Source organism: Homo sapiens, chromosome 1, assembly GCF_000001405.40.
Source record: "Homo sapiens chromosome 1, GRCh38.p14 Primary Assembly".
Taxonomy (NCBI): domain Eukaryota; kingdom Metazoa; phylum Chordata; class Mammalia; order Primates; family Hominidae; genus Homo; species Homo sapiens.
In genome coordinates this window covers 236,547,980-236,569,515 of record NC_000001.11, presented here as the reverse complement: position 1 = coordinate 236,569,515, position 21,536 = coordinate 236,547,980, and the positions used below count along the sequence as shown (strand labels likewise).

Below are 21,536 nucleotides of genomic sequence, written 5' to 3'. Positions count from 1 at the left end.
TCAGGTTATTTCTCTTTTTATTGGTGAGTTGTAATGAATTGTTGAAATGGAAAATGTTAGCCTGAGCAGGAATATCACTTGTGGCCAGGAGTTCAAGACCAGCCTGGGAGTTCAAGACCAGCCTGGGTAACATAGTGAGACCCCACCCTTACAAAACAGAAAAGGAAAAAAAATTAGCTGGGCAGGGTAGCATGCACCTGTAGTCCTAGCTACTCAGGAGGCTGAGGTGGAAGGATTGCTTGAGCTTAGGAGTCCAAGGTTTCAGTGAACTGTGATCACACAACTGCACTGCATCCCAGCCTGAATGACGGAGCGAGACGCTATCTCTTGAAAAAAAAATTAGTAGAAATTAACAGAAATAAAAAATGTTGATAGTTGTGTTTTCTTTCAGGATAAAGTTTTACACAATATCATGTCTATTTTTACATTTATGGGAGCCAATGTCATGCGCCTAGATGATACTTACAGTTTTCAAGTTATTAACAAGACAGTGAAAATGGTTATTCCCGCACTTATTCAGGTAAGGTCTCTTTATACCATCGTGGGGTTTCTTTTTTTAATTTAAAAATTTTGCATATAAATGACATTAAAAGCCTTTTTTTTAGTTTTTTTTTTTTGTTTTTTTTTTTTAATATCCTCAACAGTTGTATAAAAGCCTTTCTGAAATGCTGAAGTACATTGCCCTTAAGTTTTAGAACATTGAAGCTAAGAAGCAGTCTTGGCAATGTCTTTCTCAATAATATAAACAAACGTGTTATAGCTGGTTCTGCTGTGCTGTGAGTGTGTAACTGTAAGTGTCTTAACATCATTCGGGTGGGGTAAATTGACATCCACCATCTATTTCAGGACATTGCATCAGTTTGATAATACCTTCTTACATGTTGATGAGGCTAGGAACTTTTAGAGCTACAGTGACAAATTTGTTAACATGCAGTTTAGCAAATGTTTACCAAGCATTCTCTAAGAGCTAAACTCAGAGAGAGAGGTGAGATGTTCTCTCTCCCAGTAAGGAATGAACAATTCAAAAGTTAAAAGTAGCCTCAAGAGTAAAAGAGCTTGTTCATCTACTTGAGTTGTCTATGTACCCTTCACTTGTTAATTAATGTCTTTTCTCATGCTATTGACCCTCTGAGGGATGACCATATTCAGCACCTTCTTTTAACCTTAGTATTAGATTGGTGTTCTCAGTGTCCACCAAGTTGGCAAGTATAGGATATATACCTAAAAAGAAAAATAATAATATGCATTCATATGATCAGTGCCAGTCGAATAAGTAAATGCTAAAGAGTTCAGAATAGGGGAAAGTCTATATGGGCCAGGATGACCAGAAAGTTCTATAAGAAATAGAATTTGTACCGGTGTGAAAGAAGGATGGGATTTGTTCAGTGATGGCAGAGCCAATAGTATGAGAAAAGGCATGATCTAGGAATGTGCACAGCATGTTTGAAGAATGTAATGGTGATTGATTGATGGAGAGCAGAGGGTTGAGACAGGTAGACATTGGTTTATTCATTCATTCAAGTGTTTTCTGTCATTCTTTCTGTCATTTATTCAACAACTATATTTTGATCACCAATACCTGGAGTAAAATGGTTCAAACTTTATTCTGAAAGCAGCAGGAAGTTGTTGGCCTTTTCTGTGCTCTGCTTATCTTCATTCTTCTTGAGGCACAACCCAAATCCTGTGTGATTTGTGCAGCCTTCCCAGGCAGTCTAAGCAGACTTGCTATCAGTGTCACATATTTGGCATGTGCCATTACTGCCTCCTGTTATCTTTTCACACATGTATTGTTTCTTTTGTTTGTTTGAGACAGAGTTTTGCTCTTGTTGCCCAGGCTAGAGTGCAATGGCATGATCTTGGGTCACTGCGACCTCTGCCTCCTGGTTTCAAGTGATTCTCCTGCCTCAGCCTCCTGAGTAGCTGGGACTACAGGCACGCACCACCACGCCCGGCTAATTTTGTATTTTTAGTAGAGATGGGTTTAACCATGTTGGCCTGGCTGGTCTTGAACTCCTGACCTTAGGTGATCTGCCCAGCTTGGCCTCCCAAAGTGTTGGGATTACAGGCGTGAGCCACTGCGCCCAGCCATGTATCCTGTTTCATACAGAAAATAAATCTCCTTTGGGGCAGGGCTCATATCGTACACTTTGTATTCCCCTTGGGGCTAAGTAGCGCTTGGGACATGACAGGTACTTACTGAATATTTATTGTTAGGCCTTTGATTATTAAAACTCTTGTGGCTGAGTGTGGTGGCATGCACCTGTAACACCAGCACTTTGGGAGGCTGAGGTGGGATTATTTGAGGCCAGGAGTTTGAGAACAGCCCGGTCAACATAGCAAAACCCCGTCTCTACAAAAATTTTTAAAAAGTGGTGGTGGGGTCCTGGGATGTCCCAGCTTCTTCGGAGGCTGGGGCAGGAGGATCTCTTTGAGCTCAGGAGATCCAGGCTGCGGTGAGATATGATCACATCACTGCACTTCAGCCTGGGCCATGGAGAAAGACCCTGTCTCTAAAAAAATAAATAAAATTCTTCTGGCAATTTCTTGGGGCCCATCTAAAAGCCTTATCTTGTTCACCTAAACTTGTTTTGTGGAAGATTACTTGCACCTACTCATTGTCTCTGCTTGCTGTTTTGCAGTCTGATAGTGGAGATTCTATAGAAGTTTCAAGAAACGTTGAAGAGATTGTGGTAAAAATCATTAGTGTATTTGTGGATGCGCTGCCACACGTCCCGGAGCACAGGCGCCTGCCCATCCTTGTTCAACTTGTTGATACACTGGGTGCAGAGAAATTCCTCTGGATTCTCCTCATCTTGCTTTTTGAACAGTATGTCACAAAAACAGTGCTGGCGGCTGCCTATGGCGAAAAGGTCAGAACCTAGGGTGGGAAGATAAGGAAAATGGTGATTTCTCACACAGATTTTATGATATTGTCCAGTTTAAACATGGGGCTGATGATGCCTAATGTGTGTTATTTAGAACCTTTTTGCTCAGAACCTTTTTCAAAAAGGTTTTTGGCATTTTAAAAAATTGCATTCAGAGCCCATAGCACTCTGAATATCCTCAGTTGCAGCAAAACATCTGAAGGCGAATTAACTTTTCTGAGAAACAGTTCTGGTGCCACGCAAGTGGTTCTCTTTTAAGCCCAGCAGAGTATGGCTGAAGAGTAATGAAACAGTGTCTCTTCAAAGCGGTTTTGAAGGCAGTTTGTGGGGAAATAGAGGAGCGTCCGTGTCCCTGAAGTCAGTAAGACACAAACACAGGTGATTGTTTGGATAAAGCCCTGTTTGGATAAGTCGAGGACCATTTTTAAATGACTTCTTAGACATGGGATCTGGGAGTAGATCTCGACCCACTCTAAATAAAGTAGTATACTCTGTTCTGCTAGAAATCCTAACGCACATTATCCTGAAATTATGCCTTCACAATTCCTAAGTACAGATTTGTTACCTTTTTCTTTTTCTACACAGGATGCTATTTTAGAAGCAGACACTGAATTTTGGTTTTCAGTCTGTTGTGAGTTTAGTGTCCAGCATCAGATACAAAGCTTGATGAATATCCTCCAGTACTTACTAAAGCTGCCAGAGGAAAAAGAAGGTAAGCGTAGATCGGGTGTCACTTACTGTTCAATCTGAAAGCTAAAGAGAAACAGAAGAGAATGCAGGTTATCCTTAGTACATCTTCAGAAGGATTTTTAAAGTAAGTTAATCATTTTAATTTGATTGTGTAGTTTCTTGAATCCTTATGGAAAATAGTCGGAATTCCATTTGCCATTCCTCACACATTGTCTTTTATACCTCTGTGCTCTGCGCTGACGTCTTGGCTGTGGAATGTTGCTGGTATCCAGGATGAGTTAGGTTCAAATGACAGTAAATGATCAGGACCTCATTAGCTGTCTCTCAGCTTCTCATTAAAATATCTGAAGACATTTACATGAAAAGAAAAAAAGTAGGTACCACAGGAGTGGCAGCAAAATATTAAAATTGTACCATGCAGCAGAGCCTTGAAGAAAATCCCACGAACCGCAGCACCACTGAGGCTGGCTTAGGAAAGGGTTGATGAAGCCAGGTGTGATGGTGTTAGCCTGTGGTCCCAGCTACCCAGGAGAATGAGACAGGAGGATCACTTTAGCGCAGTTCAAGACCAGCCTGAGCAACATAGTAAGACGCCATCTCTAAAAAAAACTTTTTTTCATTAAGAAAGGGTTGACGTGTTGATAGTTCTTAGTTCTCTACAATTCGAAGCAGAACGACAAGGCACGTTAGAAGGAAGGTACTCTAAGAGCTCCGCAGAGACTGTTTTCTGCGTGGCCAGCCATTGGCCCTGTCATCCCTGTTTGGCGAGGCAGTAACTTGTCCCATCCTGCAGTCAGCTCAGGTTTGGCAGGGACAGACGAGGGAGGTCCCTGGACAGTATGTGGTGTATGTGGTATATGTGGTGATGTGGGTAAGGAAGTGTCTTAGCAGTAAGTCATTCTATAGGCTAGTGGTTTTTAACACTGCACTGCCAACCCCATTTACATTAGACACATTGAATAAAGAAATCTACACCTGCAGTTGGAAGTTCAGAGACTCCTTCCGTGATGTGGTTTCTTCCATTTGATTGTCCAGTTTCCCTGTTTTGTTTTTTGTCTTAAACACTCGCTTCTCAGGGCCACTGGGTACTTTCTTGGCAAATACACTCACGTTTTTCACTAATTTAGAAGAGGAGAAACTGGATGTAATAGATGAACACATTTCTCTGGGAAAATGTTATCCCGTTAATTGTCCTTTACTTGAAAGGTTATATCTGTTAATTCTGTATGAAGGATTCAGGTGAAAATGAGTAAGGTCACTTGTTTTATTGCTGTTTCAGAAACCATTCCCAAAGCAGTGTCATTTAATAAGAGTGAATCACAAGAAGAAATGCTACAGGTTTTTAATGTAGAGACTCACACTAGCAAGCAACTGCGGCATTTTAAATTTTTGTCAGTGTCCTTCATGTCTCAGCTCCTGTCTTCCAATAATTTTCTGAAAAAGGTAATGTGTTCTTTAAATGTGTTTATAAAAAGGTATTCTGCTGTCTCCAAGGAACTGTTCTCAACCAGTAGAAGTAGCTTGGTAAATGGCTCATGAAAATGGGAGGCACGCCTTTAAAGATAATAGAACAAGAAAGTACGTTTCACCATGAAAAGCCGTTCGTCATGATCTACTGAGATGGAACATAATGTAAACTCTGTGACTCAGTGGTTTCATTCTTAAGTGTTGTGTACCCATCAGAAGTTTATGAACCTGTACACCAAAAAAACTACAAGAATCTTTATAATATTCATAACATTCTTCATGGTAGCACAAAACTGGTAACAACTCCAGTGTCTACCAGCAGAGTAGATAAATTGCCTGTATTTTATTTTATTTTTTGAGACAGGTCTCACTCCATGTCCCAGGCTGAAGTGCAGTAGAGCAATCATGGCTCACTGCAACCTGAAACTCCTGGGCTCAAGCAATCCTCTTGCCTCAGCCTCCCAAGTAGCTGGGACTACAGGCGTGTGCCACCTACATCTGGCTAATTTTAAAACTTTTTTTATAGAGACAGGGTCTCGCTCTATTACCCAGGCTGATGTCAAATTCCTGGCCTCAAGCGATCCTCCCAACTCGAGTTCCCATAGTGCTGGGATTACAGGCATGAGCCATCATGCCCAGCCTTTCTTTACCTGGATATAGTGAGTTCTGCATGTATGATTTGTATACATCTCTGTTTGTGTATTAAACTTGTTTAAACAATGAGAGAAAAGGAAGGAAAGAAAGGAATACGACCAGGAATACAAAAATGGTTTGACATTAGAGTACTGTAAAGTCCATTAGGTCCTATAATGCGTTAACAGATGAAGAAGGGAAACCATATGATCATTTTACATTTCACAGTGAAATAATTCAGCAGACTCAATGCTTATTCACAACTTAAGAGAGAAAAATCCTCGCTCACACCTGTAATCCCAGCACTTTGGGAGGCCGAGGCGGGCGGATCATGAGGTCAGGAGATCGAGACCATCCTGGCTAACATGGTCTCTACTAAAAAATACAAAAAATTAGCCGGGCGTGGTGGTGGGCGCCTGTAGTCCCAGCTACTCGGGAGGCTGAGGAAGGAGAATGGCGTGAACCCGGGAGGCATAGCTTGCAGTGAGCCAAGATCGAGCCAATGCATTCCACCAACCTGGGTGACAGAGCGAGATTCTGTCTGAAAAAATAAAAAAAATAAAAAAAAGGAAAAAACTCCTCTCAGCAGTGCAGGATAGATGGGAATTACTTTGGCCTAATAAAGGTGACAATCTGAAGCTTGTGGTTTATATCATACCTAATGATGAAATATTAATGGTGTGCCTGCTACAGTCAGGGACAAGAATCTCCTCTGTCATTGTTTCTATTCAGGAAAAGAAATGAAGTGTAAGAATCAGGAAAGAAGAGAATCAGCAATTAGAACTAATAATGAGTTCAGTAAGCTTGCTTAAGAGAGATCAGTGTAGACACTATCTAGAGATCAGTGTAGGTTGTGATCTGTATCAAGCAGGCTGGCTGAACTAATTAGTCTCACCACTGTTATATAATATTGTTATTCCTCAAATTAGAAAACAGAGTAGAAAAAAAGATTTCCTGTATAATACAAACATAAACTTATAAGGTACCAAGAATAAGCCTGACAAAAATATGTGCACAAATATTACAGGGGAAATGTGCAAGATATGAAGGGACACAGAAGAAAACTTGGAAGAAATAGAGAGACACTGTGTTTACGCATGAAGAAGCCTCACTATTTAAAGGTGGCAGATCTGCCCAGATTGGTCTAGAAACTCAGTGTGCTTTTTCAATTATATCATTTTAAGAAATGATATTGATACATTGATACCAAACTGTAAGGGGCCAAGGACAGTGGTATGGTGCAGGAGTAATCAGATGGATCAATGTGACTGAACAGTAGGCCCAGAAACACATGCAGGCATAGGTAAGAGGTGCAGCAGGTGATTTTACAAAGCAGTTGGGGGAGAGAATGGTCCAAGTGCTGGCCCTGGCATGATTTGTTTCCCATTTGGGGAAAAGTCTGATGTCACACCTTGTAGAAAAGACAACTTTAGTCAGAGTAAAAACTTCATTGTAAAAAACAACAGTTCAAATGTTTAGAAGAAAATCAAGGAGAACATGATTGTGACTGGAGGATAGGAAAGAATTCCTTTAAAATTTTGATTCAATAGAAAGCCACAGGCTGAGAGAAGATTATTGCTCTGCATAAATCAAAAAGCCTCAGTTTCCATTAGAACAACTGGCAAAGAATATGAATTCACTGAAGAGGAATTACAGATGGCCAGTTAATGTACAATGTCATTTAGCCTCCAGTAAGCAGGAAATGTGATTAAATGTGATACCCATCAAATTGGCAAAACTGTTGAAGTCGTTAGTACCAGGGATTGGGTACGTAGTGGCAGACAGTGTGATTGTTCCAACCACTTTAGAAAGCAATTGGCAGGATCCCATGAGGTTGAAAGTTCCAGTAATTCCTGTGATCTGGTCATTCCCTTCCTTAGGTATATATGCTGTAAAAACTTCCCAAGATGATCAAAGGGACATAAAAATGTTCTTCTCTAGCATTATTAGTAAAAGGGGAAAAAATGGACATAAACTAAACATCTAACAACAGAGGCAAATGGATAGATAAGTGGTATTTATAGAGGAATATCATATGCAGTTAAAATGAAGGAACTAGAACATAAGTCACCATGCATAGATCTCAAAAATATGTTTCCAGAAAAACATGTTGTTCCGTGATATGTAGTGTTTGAAACATTTGGAAGCAGATTTGGGATGATGGTTTTGTTTGTGGGGCTTGGGGTAGAGGGAGAATAGGACCAAGGAGCAGTACTTGGGGGATTCCAGCTGAATCTGTAATGTTTAACTTCTCAACAAAGGATATGTGAGCTCACCAGCTCAGCATGTCATAGAATTCGGTAGTGCTAATTGAGTGTTGATTGCTGTATTTTTCTGAACCATTGTAGTACTTTTTAGATACTACCAGTAGAATGTAATTAAAATAAATTAAGAGAAATAGAGTTACTACAGTATAATGAAGATGATATGAACCTGATTAAATTGTAATGTCAGAAAACAGTTGCTGTGGAAGGTTTCAGTGAATGGTCCGAGTTTCATTGAACTGACTTGAAATGACTTTTATTATTGACTTCCCTACCGTTCTAATGACGTCTTCTTTAAAAATTAGGTAGTTGAGAGTGGTGGTCCTGAGATTTTAAAAGGCCTTGAAGAGAGGTATGTTTCCTTTTCTTTTTCTACTTTTTATTTGGAAATGACTTCAAACTTATAGAAAACCTGGAAAAACAGTACAGAAAATTCATATACTCTTTACAACCAGGTTCACCATTTGATAATACTTTCTGCCACATTTGCCTTAGCGTTCTCCCTATGTAGGGTTTTTTCTCTGAGCCATTTGAAAGTAAATCATATACATTATGTCTCTAAGAATAAGAGATGTTCTTATAAAACCACAGTACATTGATCAAATTCAGAAAATTTAACATTGATCCAATCCAGTGATGTAATCTACAGTTCATACTCCAGTCTCCCTAATTATCCCAACACTCTCCTTTACACCGCATGTGTTTCTGCATCATGATCCATGTCAAGTCTGTGTATTGTATTGAGTTGCAGTATCTGTTTAGTGTCTTAATCTGGCCCTGATTTCTATGGGCTCATGAATTCTTTATTCTGTGGATTCTAATCCATATGCTGCCATTATATATTTGGGTGCAGGAATTTTCCTTTCTCTCCCATGTCCTCGGGGTTTGCCTCCTGGCCTTGCTGTGTACCTCCTTTTCAGATGCATGGCATTCCCAGGGCCACTGTCCTGCCCCTTCCACTGGAAAGTGCCTGCCCTGCAGCCAGGAATGTGAGCTGCTGAGTTCCAGTCCTGTGGGCTGACTTGTAGCGCTATGCGTAGGACTTTCGTTTTTGGAGCTGATTTTGTCTGCGCCCCCTTCTCCCCTCCTCTGCTGTGCGGTGTCAACTTCTGTCTCCACTCTTCCCTCTAGCTCCCCCCTCAGGCTGGCAGCAGTGGGGGGATCTCCAGTGGCAGCTGTGTTGGAATTTGGTGTGTGCTTTTCTAATTACAAGTTATTTGAAGTTTGTAGTCTTTTTTTTTTGTCTCCTAATAATGTGAAAGAAGTGGGTTATATGTTCATTTCTATTAATATTTCTCTTTATATAAATGGTGTATGGTGTGTGTGCATGTGTATGTGTGCGTGTGTGTGCCTGTGTGTGTGTGCGCGCACACACCTGCCATTAACCTAGGGCCATAACTCCCTGAACACCCCACTTGGACAGCCCAGTGAGATCCACTGAGCATGAGCTAGATATGAGTGAGTTCCTTAAACGCTTTCAGCATCTGTTGCTTATTCAGCACCTCACAGAGTCTGAGCGAGGTCGATGCTTCTGCACAGAAGCGCCTAGTTACTTCTTGATGATCTCTGTCTATGGCAATAATCCCTCATTTCCTTTCTTTCCGAGTAGTTTTTGAAATAATTTAGTACAGAATTATTTAACTCGTCTTTCTACTTGAAACATTTAGCATAAGGTAGACATGAACAAGTTCTCTGAGTGCCTTCAGCTGCCGTTTGCTGAGCGAGCCTCTGTGTTTCAGGTTGCTGGAGACCGTTCTCGGCTATATCAGTGCAGTTGCACAGTCCATGGAAAGGAACGCAGACAAACTCACCGTGAAGTTCTGGCGCGCGCTCCTTAGTAAAGCTTACGACCTGTTAGATAAGGTAGGTGTTCATTTCTCCCTGGAATTACTGTTTTGTTGCTGTTTTTTAAATTATTGTGAAATTATGTAAAGTTTTTAAGAATAAACTTAGCAATTCCTTTTATGAATATAATGAAGCTCAGATTTTTCTTAGAAAACAATCTCTTGATGACTAGAAATAGATTTGTCTGGAAAAAATTGTTTCCTTACCAGTTATGAGAACATGTACCTCGTATATTTTAATAATTAAGTCATATAATATATACTGTTCTACTTTATTCAAGTGGAATAAAATAAAAGTATGAAGTATATTACATACATATCACTGGCCTCGAAGTTAGGATTGCTGATTCAAATCTAGCTCAGTCATTTAGCTGCATGCCTTTGGCACTTCCTCCTGACATCAGGCTTTTGTTTTGTTCGATAATGTGTGGTTGGTAATGCCTACCTGAAAGGTTATTTTAAGAATTAAATAAGAAAATGTGTGTGGAAGTGCCTGGTGCCTGGAGGTGTGCAGTGGACAGCAGTCTGTCTTAATTGAAGTTGGTTTTTTTTTTAATTTGTTTTTCTTTTCATGTTAAATATAAAATTTCTCTTTAGGTCAATGCCTTGCTGCCCACAGAGACATTCATTCCTGTGATCAGAGGGCTGGTGGGCAATCCCCTGCCATCTGTTCGCCGCAAAGCGCTGGACCTTTTGAATAACAAGCTGCAGCAAAATATATCCTGGAAGAAGACAATAGTGAGTGAAGACCCAGGACACACCCATTTACTGTACTTTGCTTTATCAAAGAGCTGCATTTAACTCCCTTCAATTTCTCTAGTGGTACAATTTCAAATTGAAGTATATTATTTTCTGAATATAATACCATGACATGTTTTAAAATGTGACGTTAATTCTAACGGGAATATATGTGTGTTGTAAGAGCTCTTAGAATGGAATTTCAGCCTAGTGGAATTCTTGCTTACTACAGAGCTTACGTGGCCTTAGCCTTAGCATAGTTCTAAGTCCCTTTTACTCCAGATCAGTGGGTGCTTTGTATAAGTGAAACACTGGCTAGAACATGCACATCGCTTAGCATGACTGTGTGACTCAGGACCCCCGAGTCTGATTTCCATTTAGACAATCTCAAGCTGTGACAATGGGAAAATGGACAAACATTTTTTGCAGCTTTAATGATTTGGGGATTCTGGCTGTCCCCTTCAGGTTACCCGTTTCCTAAAACTGGTTCCAGACCTTTTGGCCATTGTGCAGCGTAAGAAAAAGGAAGGGGAAGAAGAACAAGCAATCAACAGACAGACAGCGTTGTATACCTTAAAGCTTTTATGCAAGAATTTTGGTGCAGAAAATCCAGATCCTTTTGTCCCAGTGCTGAACACTGCTGTGAAACTGATTGCTCCAGAGAGAAAGGAGGAGAAGAATGTCCTGGGAAGCGCGCTGCTGTGCATAGCAGAGGTGACCTCCACCCTGGAGGCGCTGGCCATCCCCCAGCTTCCCAGGTATGCGGCCGGAGACTTGGAACAGGAGCTGTTACCGCCTGGCACACATTGAAAAATAACACTTTGGTGACTTTTTTTTTTTTTCCTCTGAGTAGACGTTGCATAAAATTGGAATTTGTTAAAGAATTGATCTTGCAGGGTGTGGTGGCTCACGGCTGTGATCCCACCACTTTGGGAGGCCAAGGCAGGGAGATCGTTTGAGCCCAGGAGTTTGAGGCTGCAGTGAGCTATGACTGCACCACTGCACTGTAGCCTGGGCAACAGAGTGAGACCCTGTCTCTTAAAGAAATAATAATAAAAATAATTAATCTTCAAACAGAAAGATGCAGCCTTCCCGTTTATCTTCAGATGCACTACTTTGCAGTGTTAATCGTCCTCCATTCTTCCTTCCTTTTGTCTAGTATAGTCAAAAAGCAGTGGGTGAAGGTTCTTGGCAGAGGGGCCCACCCAGTTAGGCAAGGCCAAAGCTGCCTTCTGCTGCCAAATTTGGAAGTTAGAAGCTCCTGGCTGTGGTAGTTCCTTACTGTACAGCCAGTATGTTCCTTAACCTGTTAGAGCTTTGCTGTCTATAAAACAGAGACAGTATCTACCTCATAGGATTTCTGTAGGGCAGTGCTTGCAAGGAGTTTTGCATAGTGCCTGACACATAGTAAGTGTTCAGTTAATGAAAGACATTGTTATTTTTTAAATTACTGTTGTGTCCGTACTGTTAGCACTGGGAGATTTCTTGTGCTTAGCCACATAAAATGTATAGACACTGCTTTTTAGGCTATGAAGCAGATAGCGATGTAATAGGCACAGTTTGCTGGTTTTTTTCATAATGCCCTCTACTCCATTCCCTAGCCTCTGTTTCTGCTTCAAGTTCTTCTAAAGCTCTTACTTTGTTTCTAGCCTGATGCCATCGTTGCTGACAACAATGAAGAACACCAGCGAGCTGGTCTCCAGCGAGGTCTACCTGCTCAGTGCCTTGGCTGCTCTGCAGAAGGTTGTGGAGACTCTCCCGCACTTCATCAGCCCCTATCTGGAAGGCATTCTCTCCCAGGTGAGCCACGATAGCCACGACATGCTACGCAGGGTGGCTGGGGAAGGTAAAAGATCACAAATGTAGTGATTTTGTTTTTTCTTTAAGGGTTAGTTTCCGTTTGACAGAAAGGAGTCTTATTTCTGAAGAGATGTGCTTGCTTTTATTAAATGTGTACTTTTTCTCTTCCATCATCCTTGCCACTTAATCTTGAAATTGATATGGGGGTCACTTTTTAGCGAGATGCTTCTCTTCTTTAATTGTGCGGAATGTATTCTGGCTTTTTTTTCTTCTGTGAGATCTTTGGAGTTGGGCTGGTAGAGCCGCCTTTTATTACTTGTGGAAATTGATGGGCCCTGTTTCTACTGTGAGAGGTATAATCCTAAGGCATCTTGCAAAGCAGAATTTTTGTATTGCACGTCAGCGGTTTCCTGTCAACACGCTAGGGGCCAGTGGTATTTATGATTGAAGATGCTCAAGAATGTTGAGACCTGGCTGTTCCATTGTGTTGATCATTTGCCATTTACAAGGTTAGGAGCCTTCATTACCATGGGGCAAATGATTAAACCGCTTCACTTACACCACAGCCAGGGTTTAAAAGTAGCCTTCTCAGAGAAAGGGGCCTGTGCTCTGAGGAGCTTTCTCAGTTTTTTAGCAACTTGACTCTTGCCGTGGTCCCTTGCATTCCTGTCCTCTAAGAAAATCATCTGTCTGGGTGCTGTGTGTGCGTCTGCGTCTACCATCGGCCTTCGTCCCTGATCGCAAGTTGGGCAAGAGGTGTCTGCCCAGTTTTATCCACTGACGTTTAGGGCTGACTTTAAAAGGAATTCTGTGTGTAGTTAAAAAGTGCTAAGCATTTTCCAAACACTAGTACCTCATCATGAAGCCTCTCTGTAAGTGTGTGTTTGTCAGCGAAGATCTGCAGTGGCCCTGATCACTTTTTTTATATTCCTGTAGGTGATTCATCTGGAGAAAATCACTAGTGAAATGGGTTCTGCGTCACAGGCTAATATCCGTCTCACATCTCTTAAAAAGACACTGGCTACCACACTTGCACCCCGAGTCCTGTTGCCCGCCATCAAAAAAACTTACAAGCAGATTGAGAAGAACTGGAAGGTTAGATCTTATTGGGTATTAAGACTTTGGAGAAGGGAGAGGTGGTACTGCAATGTGTAAACTTTGACTTAAAGAAGAAGATTTAGTTTTTAAAAATACACACCGCTGAACTCTAGGAATCATTTGAAAATGGCACATCTCTTTCCTGTGTTATTGGTAGAATCACATGGGTCCGTTTATGAGCATCTTGCAAGAGCATATTGGGGTGATGAAGAAGGAAGAGCTCACCTCCCATCAGTCTCAGCTAACCGCCTTTTTCCTGGAAGCCCTGGACTTCCGAGCCCAGCACTCTGAGGTAAGCTCAGGTTCACTCCTCCAAATCCTAAAGCTGTTATCCACCTATTGAAGAGTCCGAGAACAATCTAGCCGTGTAACAGTGGTACTTGCCAAAATAATTTACAGTCAGGTATCAGCACTCTAATAAATGGGCTCTTCTGTTTTCAGAACGATCTGGAGGAAGTTGGAAAAACGGAAAATTGTATCATTGACTGTCTAGTAGCCATGGTTGTCAAACTTTCCGAGGTCACATTCAGGCCCCTGTTCTTCAAGGTGACGCTTTCTTCCTCTTCCTCTCTTTTGTGCTCAGATTTAAGTGACAAGATGTCGAAGAAACTAATACTGTCTTATCCTTTCAGCTGTTTGATTGGGCTAAAACAGAAGATGCCCCAAAGGACAGGTTGTTGACATTTTACAACTTGGCAGATTGCATTGCTGAAAAGCTGAAAGGGCTTTTTACTCTGTTTGCCGGCCACTTAGTGAAGCCTTTTGCTGACACCTTGAACCAGGTGAACATCTCCAAAACAGGTGGGTGGTCGCTTCAGTTCAGCTGTCACCCTTGCCCTGTGTGCCTTATACAAGGTACCAGTAAGACACAACCTAGTGCTTGGAAGCAAGATTTTAGAGGTTCTTAAGTCCTAAGCTAAGGAGGGTGAATTTTTTACTTCATTGTTGTCAGACAGTGAAGTGTTGTTTTAGCATCATGAGCGAATGTTATAAGTCACCTCACTTGGGAGAAAGAATAAAGTAAATGGCCGTTACTGTCAGTTACTGGAAGTAACTTTAAAACGCAAAAATTAAGATTAGTTTATTCTCTAATGCTAATACGTGACCCACTTGACAGTTGAGGGAATTTAACTTGCCAGAGTGAGTGTTAGAATCTTAACTCTAAAAGAAGGAATCATTCTTCGAGAGACCATCCATTGTGTTCTGCCTTCGTCCTGATTATGATTTCTAGATCATTTTAGACTCTTCTGATTTAGTTATTTTAATAGTGATTTCAATGTAAACATTGGAGATTAAATGGTTAAGTTCAGTGTTTTTTCATTTTTACTCTTCCCACGTCTACAGATGAAGCATTTTTTGACTCTGAAAATGACCCTGAAAAGTGCTGCTTGCTGTTGCAGTTTATTTTGAACTGTTTATACAAAATCTTCCTTTTTGATACCCAGCATTTTATAAGTAAAGAGAGAGCAGAAGCCTTGATGATGCCTCTGGTGGATCAGGTAACCAAACAGAATCATCTTTCGTTGCTGAGGAAGCCATCACTGTTCGAGCTTGGCAGGTTTTAGATCTGCTCAAATGACAGCTTGCTAGGATTTTTCTTTGTAAGGTTGTTTTTTCTGGTCTTTTTAATGAAATGTTTTATTTGAAAATTGTTTTTTCAAAGATATAACTTCATTGTGGAATTTGAGTTTTGTTTTGTTGTTTTGAGACAGGGTCTTGCTCTGTCACCCAGGCTGGAGTGCAGTGGTGCAATCTCGGCTCGCTGCAACCTCCACCTCCCGGTTTCAAGCAATTCTTGTGCCTCAGCCTCCCGAATAGCTGGGATCACAGGCGCCCGCCTCCACACCTGGCTAATTTTTGTATTTTTAGTAGGGATGAGGTTTTGCCATGTTGGCCAGGCTGGTCTCGAACTCCTGACCTCAAGTGATCCACCCACCTTGGCCTCCCAAACTGCTGGGATTACAGGCGTGAGCCACCATGCCTGGCCCTGAGTTATTTTTTATTTTTTATTTTTTAAACTGCTCAAAAGACAGACATGATATAAGCTGTCATGGTTAATGTATTCATTTGTTTTAACTGGGCCTCACTGAGAACGCGTCAGAGCATGGCTGTCCTCTGGAGCAAAGAGCTCCTCTGAGATGTTCTGCTGGAGAGAAAGGGGCGATGATAAAGGGTATGAGATTCCATTTGAGTTCTAGAAGGCAATACATTTGCCCTAGAGAGTATTAGAATAATGCCTGGTTTTTGAACCTGCTAATATCATGAAAGATAGTAAAATATTTGTATGTTGGATATTTTTTCAAACAGAAGAAAGAAATGAGACTTGTTGTTCAAAGTCTTTGTCTTACTCTTCCTAGCTGGAAAACAGGCTTGGGGGAGAAGAGAAATTCCAGGAACGGGTGACAAAGCACCTGATACCATGCATCGCACAGTTTTCGGTGGCCATGGCGGATGACTCTCTTTGGAAACCACTGAACTACCAGATTCTGCTAAAGACGAGAGACTCCTCGCCTAAGGTTAGGAACTGCGTGACAAGTACTGAAACTGCATCTTTTCACTGCATAGCCTAAACAGCCTGCAGGTGGTCACAGATGTAGGCCCCCTAGTAAACTGGCAGGGAAGAACATTGCTATTTGTCATCCAGTACTAGAGGTCCGGTCTTTTGTATTAGGCAGAAATTTGTGCCTAAGAAAATTTTGTTTTTTACTTACAGGCTATTTGTAAAGAATAGCAATGCCCTATCCCCACCCCAATGGTGCGTTGGGCAGAAGTACTAAAATACTTTCTAAATACTTTTAAATAACAAAGATTTGAAGTAATTCCTTCTTTTTTAAGTGCCATTGAAATGTCATTGTGCTCCAGAGAGAAATGCATTGAATTTATCCACACTATAGTCTTTTGAGTTAGAGCAATACATTCTGTTGTTTATAGATACTAGGCTTATGATCTTGTTGAGTAAGTGGTGGCAGTGGAAATAAAACATGGGTAGGTTGAGTGGAAGTCAAAATTTGACACCCAAGTGTTACGAATTTCAAACTGTTTTAGCAATGAGTCACCATTTCTCAAACTAATGATTGTATTAGAACTTTACTGGCTATAACAGACCAAAGCAGAATTTTATTAATAGGATTTATTAGTTCAAATTCTTTATTAGGATATGCTAACAATGAGACTATTATGATGAACCCCCACATTTTAAACCATAGGTTTTTATACAAGTAGCAGTATCAAATTTATTGTAATATTTTACTTTGCACAAATCAAGGAAATCCTGATTGAATCTAGGTAGTTACAAATGGTTTTTTAATAATTCACTTTGTACTGTCCAGATATTCTTTAATTAAAATATCCAAAATTAGAAGACCAGTAGGGCTTTTGTTTCAAAAGCTAACAATACCCAACTACTGCTTGCTTTCCTTATTATAGACAAGGCATGTGAGGAACACCTAGACGTTTTTAAAGCCCCAAAACTAGGATATTGTGACACAGAATGTTTTTTATTCAGTGCTGAGATGGGAGTTTATCCCAAGCGACTGTCCTGGCCCCTCATACAATTATAGTGGTGACCAGTCAGGGGCTGTGGGTGAGGAGACCTGCCAGAGGTGGCTGGAGGCACTTTATTGCCAGCCTGGCGGGCTGGCGAGCGCCAATGAAGTAAAATCTGGTGACACACTTGAGTTTGCATGCGGCATTTTATTTTATTGGTTTTTTTTAAAGGAAGAGATTATAAAAAGACATTTCACATTAAAGATTTGCAGTCCTGGGACACAGTTTGGAAAACACTATTTATAAGGTTGCACATATTACAAACAGCTCCCAAATGGTGAAACTGGTATTCTAAGATGAAAGCTTAATGAACATAATGAAGTGAATAAACGCATGTGAACTAATGTTTAAAAAGTTAGAGCTTGTCTCAAGTCAGTACAGCTCTTAAGATAATAAATACAGTAACACTACTTTTTATTTCTTTGCTCTTTTATCCCTTTCAGGTTCGATTTGCTGCTTTGATTACTGTGTTAGCACTGGCTGAAAAACTAAAGGAGAATTATATTGTCTTGCTACCAGAATCCATTCCTTTCTTAGCAGAGTTGATGGAAGGTAATTCCCAAACTATTCCCAACCATTAAACAATTAAGGAATAATTCAGTAAAATTCTGTGAAAATGTGCCCAATGATAATGCAGATTTGGATATAACGTGACTAGCAGTTGATCCAGTCCTCATACAGGCAGCTCCAGTCTCAAATACAGGCAGGCTCGAGCTCCTGTTTTGAGTTGGGTGGAGGGAGCAAGTTGCGAAGTGACCACCTCCTGATCATTTGAGAGTCCGTTTACAGTGTAATCTTCACGATCTTTTCTTTTGTGGTGGTTTGTGATCATACAAGCAGATTACAGTAGTGTTTTTAATTAACCTCATACATTTATATGATTGAAGTTTTGGTCCCCAGATTGTATGGAAATGCCTAGTGGCATTAAGGATGCAGTAGGATGTCCACTTTTAGTAGCAACCGATGTTCATTCACTACTCCATGTTAGGTGCTTTACTTGGATTATCTCACTTAAAAACCACAACATTTTATCTCTGTTTTACAAAGGAAGAAACTAGAGGCTTAAAAGATTTCAGTTATTTGACAAAGATCACAAGCTAGTGAGTGTGACATGGGGAGCTGTGACAGTTCTGGAACATAGAGTCTTAGGCCCAGGAAATAACAGTAAATGTTATTATTAAGGGAGGGGTGGTGGAGCAAGTAGATCAGTCCTTTACTGATTCATTGCTTATCTAAGCTACAAAAGTACATTCTCCTTTGTTTCTTAGCTCTTGGAGGGGGGAGGTGTGAGCTACTAAAGGGGTGGCATCCCTAGGAAGTTTGAGTTTTGGGGATTCTTATTCAGCTTCCAGTGCAAGCCTGTGGGCAAGGAATGAAGGCGGAAGGAGCGGTGTGGAGGGAGGCGGTCCGTGGCGCCTCCTGCTTTGTTAATGTGCTTCATTTCACTCTTTTGATTGAATGATTGCCGGAAAGTGCAAGGCATTAAGAATTAAACTAATGAGAACCGAGGCAGGCGGACTGACTCAGATTTTAATTTTGATTTTTTTTTTTTTTTTTTAGATGAATGTGAAGAAGTAGAACATCAGTGCCAAAAGACTATTCAGCAACTGGAAACTGTCCTGGGAGAGCCACTCCAGAGCTATTTCTAAGACTTTCTGTGGTGTTTCATACTCTACTCAGAGTTCACACTCATATTTCATATTTTTATTTTTGGGTGTTGGGTGCCATGTTACTTTTGGTGCCTTAATACACCTACTTGGATTACTTACAAATGTTTTATCACTTCTTTACAAAATCCCCACCTGGCTTGTGCTGCCACATAAGCCTCTCCTGCCTATCGTATAGAGCTGCAGAAAGAGTAAATGATACACGGTATTTTTATACAGACTGCTGTGTTTGTTTAAACATTTATTATTCTCTTCCTGATTGATGGTAATAATATTAGACTTGTTAATTTTAGCACCCAAAGCTGACGCCTCATTTGCACTGTAAGCCTTAACTCTTCTGTACAGCAGTATCTTACATACATGGTATCCATGTTGCAGATTTCACTCAAAGTTGCTCTATTTCAAGAAAATGAAGTTATTTAGCAATCAACAGAAGTACTTTTGACTGTAAAGCCTACTTTTCATTTTGGGTAGGCGAACTTCAGCCTTCGTTTCTTTGTTGTGCCCATAAAGAGAAGTGGTTCTGGAATGCTTTTTTTAACCCAGGAGTGTGACTGTCACCTTTATCCTTTGTTCTTTTGGGAAACGGGAGAGATGAAGGCAACACGCTGCTTCTAAAACAGCTCACACCTGGCTGCTCACACAGAGGGCCCAGAAACACTGGGTGGCACGAGGAAGCTCCTCCAGGATTCAGAATGAACCCAGTTCCATTGGTGGTTAACTAAGAACTACTTGTCTAAGAAAGTAAGTATCAGTAGATTTTTTTCAATGCTTTGAAGTGCCCTAATCTCTAGTACTGGGTCATGGTGAAGTTGGAAAGTGAGGGTTCAAATAAAATTAGATCTGCCCCCTTTTTAAAGGCATCTAAGAACATCCCGTAGAATGTTCGCATTGAGTTTAAAAGCCTTTGAAGCTAATATAGAAGTTTAATGCAGAAATGTGGCAAGCAAAAGGCCAACTTGCATTTTAGAGACAGAGCTTGCTAGTATAGAAGTGCATATTTCTAAGAAATGTCTCAGTAAAATTCATTAATAAATACTAATAGCTTTTTAAATTTTTTTCCTCCACGTAAAATGAAAATGAACTTAAGACTTACAAGGAATGATGTGAGTGGGCTATTTTTTTCCTAAATGCCTCACAGTCTCCAACAGCTCAGTTAAGCACTCTGATGGTCTTTATGGAGAAAAATAACTCTGGGGGATTCTCGAGTCTTCTTGCCTTCTACAGCTTTCCCTGTGGCACCCTCCACCCCCAACCAGTGTCTTTGAGCTTGGTGAGACTCTGCATACATTAATATGAAAAGCTGGAAAAGAATTAAGGGCTAGCGATTTCTACACTGAGTACTTTTAAAAAAATAAGATTGACAATGGTATTCTTTTCAATATATGGATAGAAATAATATCTAAAATCTGTTCTGAAAATATTCCTAAATCCTGGCAGAGTTCTGCCCCAGTCTAATGTGATAAAATGATCCTCACTGACTGAGCTTTTTTCCCTCCCCACTCCCAAACCTTTGAAATTTCCTGTAACAAGATCTGACCTGTAAAGATCCCATATACATGGAACTTCTGCCAACTCCCCTCAAATAATAGAAAAATCACAGAAATGGAACCATTTAACTTGCTGATACAGGTTTGATTTTAATCACGTAAAGTGGAAGAGTGCTTTGATCTCAGTTGCTAATGATGATGGACTAATCTTTAGAAGAACGGAGGCCTTGATTGGTGATTTCATGGGAACAAAACAGATTTCTGCATTACCTCTGCCTGCTTTGTGGGTCCCTTAGTTGGCGTACACTTTCTGATAGTGCCTGCCTTATGAATGCCTGAAGTCTAATCCTGACCTTACTTTGTTGCCCATAAATATCTTTCAAATTGAATGCATCTTGCCTCTTCCTGAAACTTTCTGTAGGCGTCTGTGTAGACTCTGATTTGCCCTAAGTTCAAATACACAGAAATCAGCTGCCTTGGGCTTGGCATCAAGTTAATTTCAGCACCATGTATTTGTTTTGCTTTGGTTTTTTGCCTTAATTTCTGTGCTCAGATGTCATGCCAATTACTTGGTAAAGCTTGCAGCTAATAGAGCCACATGTTTATTACGATAAAGAAAATGATGTCAGTCAACATCAGTCCTCAGTGATGGGATACGGTAGAGCACTGGTTATGACAGTGATCACTGGGGAAGGAGTTGTGTCTTCTGTAAGTTAGTGTCTTCGGGTGATTTAATATCTGCATAACTAATCCCAGAGGACCCCTTAGGAGTTGATGTAATGCCTGTAGAAAAAGCAGTGCGCAGCAGTAGCGCACAGAAGAGTCGAAGCTCAAGAGAACAGGGAACATACTGGTTTGTTTCACCAAGTATATATCCTAGCTCTTCACAGTTTTACCAAAAAAAATCTGTGCTCAATACATGTTAGCTACTGTATTATAGTAGGTACTCCATAAATACTTGTTGAATGGCATTCTTGAAGAGTCAGCCAAAGTAGGAGAGAGGGCAGAGTGGCTTTAACTGGCTATAAGTGTTGCTGCCCCCAGTTTCCCCATTCAGTGCTAGACACCACCATACTTCATGGCAAGGACTGAGAACACCCAGCAGGACCTAATGGTGCACAAGCTCATTTTAACAATATAAACAATAGAATGACAGTGAGATGCGTTTCAGCAAGGCCAGTATCACAGAAGCCATTCTGTATTTTGGTTTTTGTAGCAGCTGTGTAGGTAGGCTACCAGCTCCTTACTTCCAGTAAGTGGATGTCTCCATTAATTTCCAGCGTGTCAATACTGCTGAGCTCTTTAAATCTGTGTTTGTACTCCAGGCTGTGTACGCCATTTACTGCAACCTTGAATTCTCTAACATCACAATAAATTATCATCTGAAAGGAAAGGATACATGCCATTAGTGGTT

At 40.7% G+C, this 21,536-nt stretch overlaps 2 protein-coding genes across 9 annotated transcripts in view, besides 1 other annotated feature; one reads left to right on the top strand and one right to left on the bottom strand.

The window, feature by feature from the left end:
• Positions 1-20,511, top strand: part of HEATR1 (HEAT repeat containing 1) — a 55,512-nt gene extending 35,001 nt beyond the window's left edge. The window contains exons 29-45 of the mRNA NM_018072.6: positions 392-520; positions 2,640-2,870; positions 3,471-3,597; positions 4,855-5,018; positions 8,245-8,291; positions 9,679-9,802; positions 10,381-10,521; positions 10,987-11,279; positions 12,171-12,321; positions 13,258-13,416; positions 13,577-13,711; positions 13,861-13,965; positions 14,052-14,220; positions 14,764-14,918; positions 15,777-15,935; positions 17,409-17,517; positions 18,526-20,511. Of these exons, the coding sequence (NP_060542.4) occupies positions 392-520; positions 2,640-2,870; positions 3,471-3,597; positions 4,855-5,018; positions 8,245-8,291; positions 9,679-9,802; positions 10,381-10,521; positions 10,987-11,279; positions 12,171-12,321; positions 13,258-13,416; positions 13,577-13,711; positions 13,861-13,965; positions 14,052-14,220; positions 14,764-14,918; positions 15,777-15,935; positions 17,409-17,517; positions 18,526-18,614 (2,487 nt within the window). The 3' untranslated portion in view covers positions 18,615-20,511. The remainder of the gene's footprint in view (positions 1-391; positions 521-2,639; positions 2,871-3,470; positions 3,598-4,854; positions 5,019-8,244; positions 8,292-9,678; positions 9,803-10,380; positions 10,522-10,986; positions 11,280-12,170; positions 12,322-13,257; positions 13,417-13,576; positions 13,712-13,860; positions 13,966-14,051; positions 14,221-14,763; positions 14,919-15,776; positions 15,936-17,408; positions 17,518-18,525) is intronic.
• Positions 16,281-16,481: a silencer, noted in NCBI's record as "peak785 fragment used in MPRA reporter construct". NCBI's record gives its function as "represses an SCP1 promoter by STARR-seq MPRAs in K562 erythroleukemia cells {active_cell/tissue: K562}" and the evidence as "EXISTENCE:reporter gene assay evidence [ECO:0000049][PMID:32103011]".
• The window catches only part of LGALS8 (galectin 8), a 34,768-nt gene continuing 29,766 nt past the window's right edge, over positions 16,535-21,536 (bottom strand). For all 8 annotated transcript variants that reach the window (XM_047420410.1, NM_201545.2, XM_047420411.1 and 5 more), the window contains one exon: positions 16,535-21,504. In XM_047420410.1, coding sequence (XP_047276366.1) covers positions 21,355-21,504 — 150 coding nt within the window. In that variant the 3' untranslated portion in view covers positions 16,535-21,354. The remainder of the gene's footprint in view (positions 21,505-21,536) is intronic.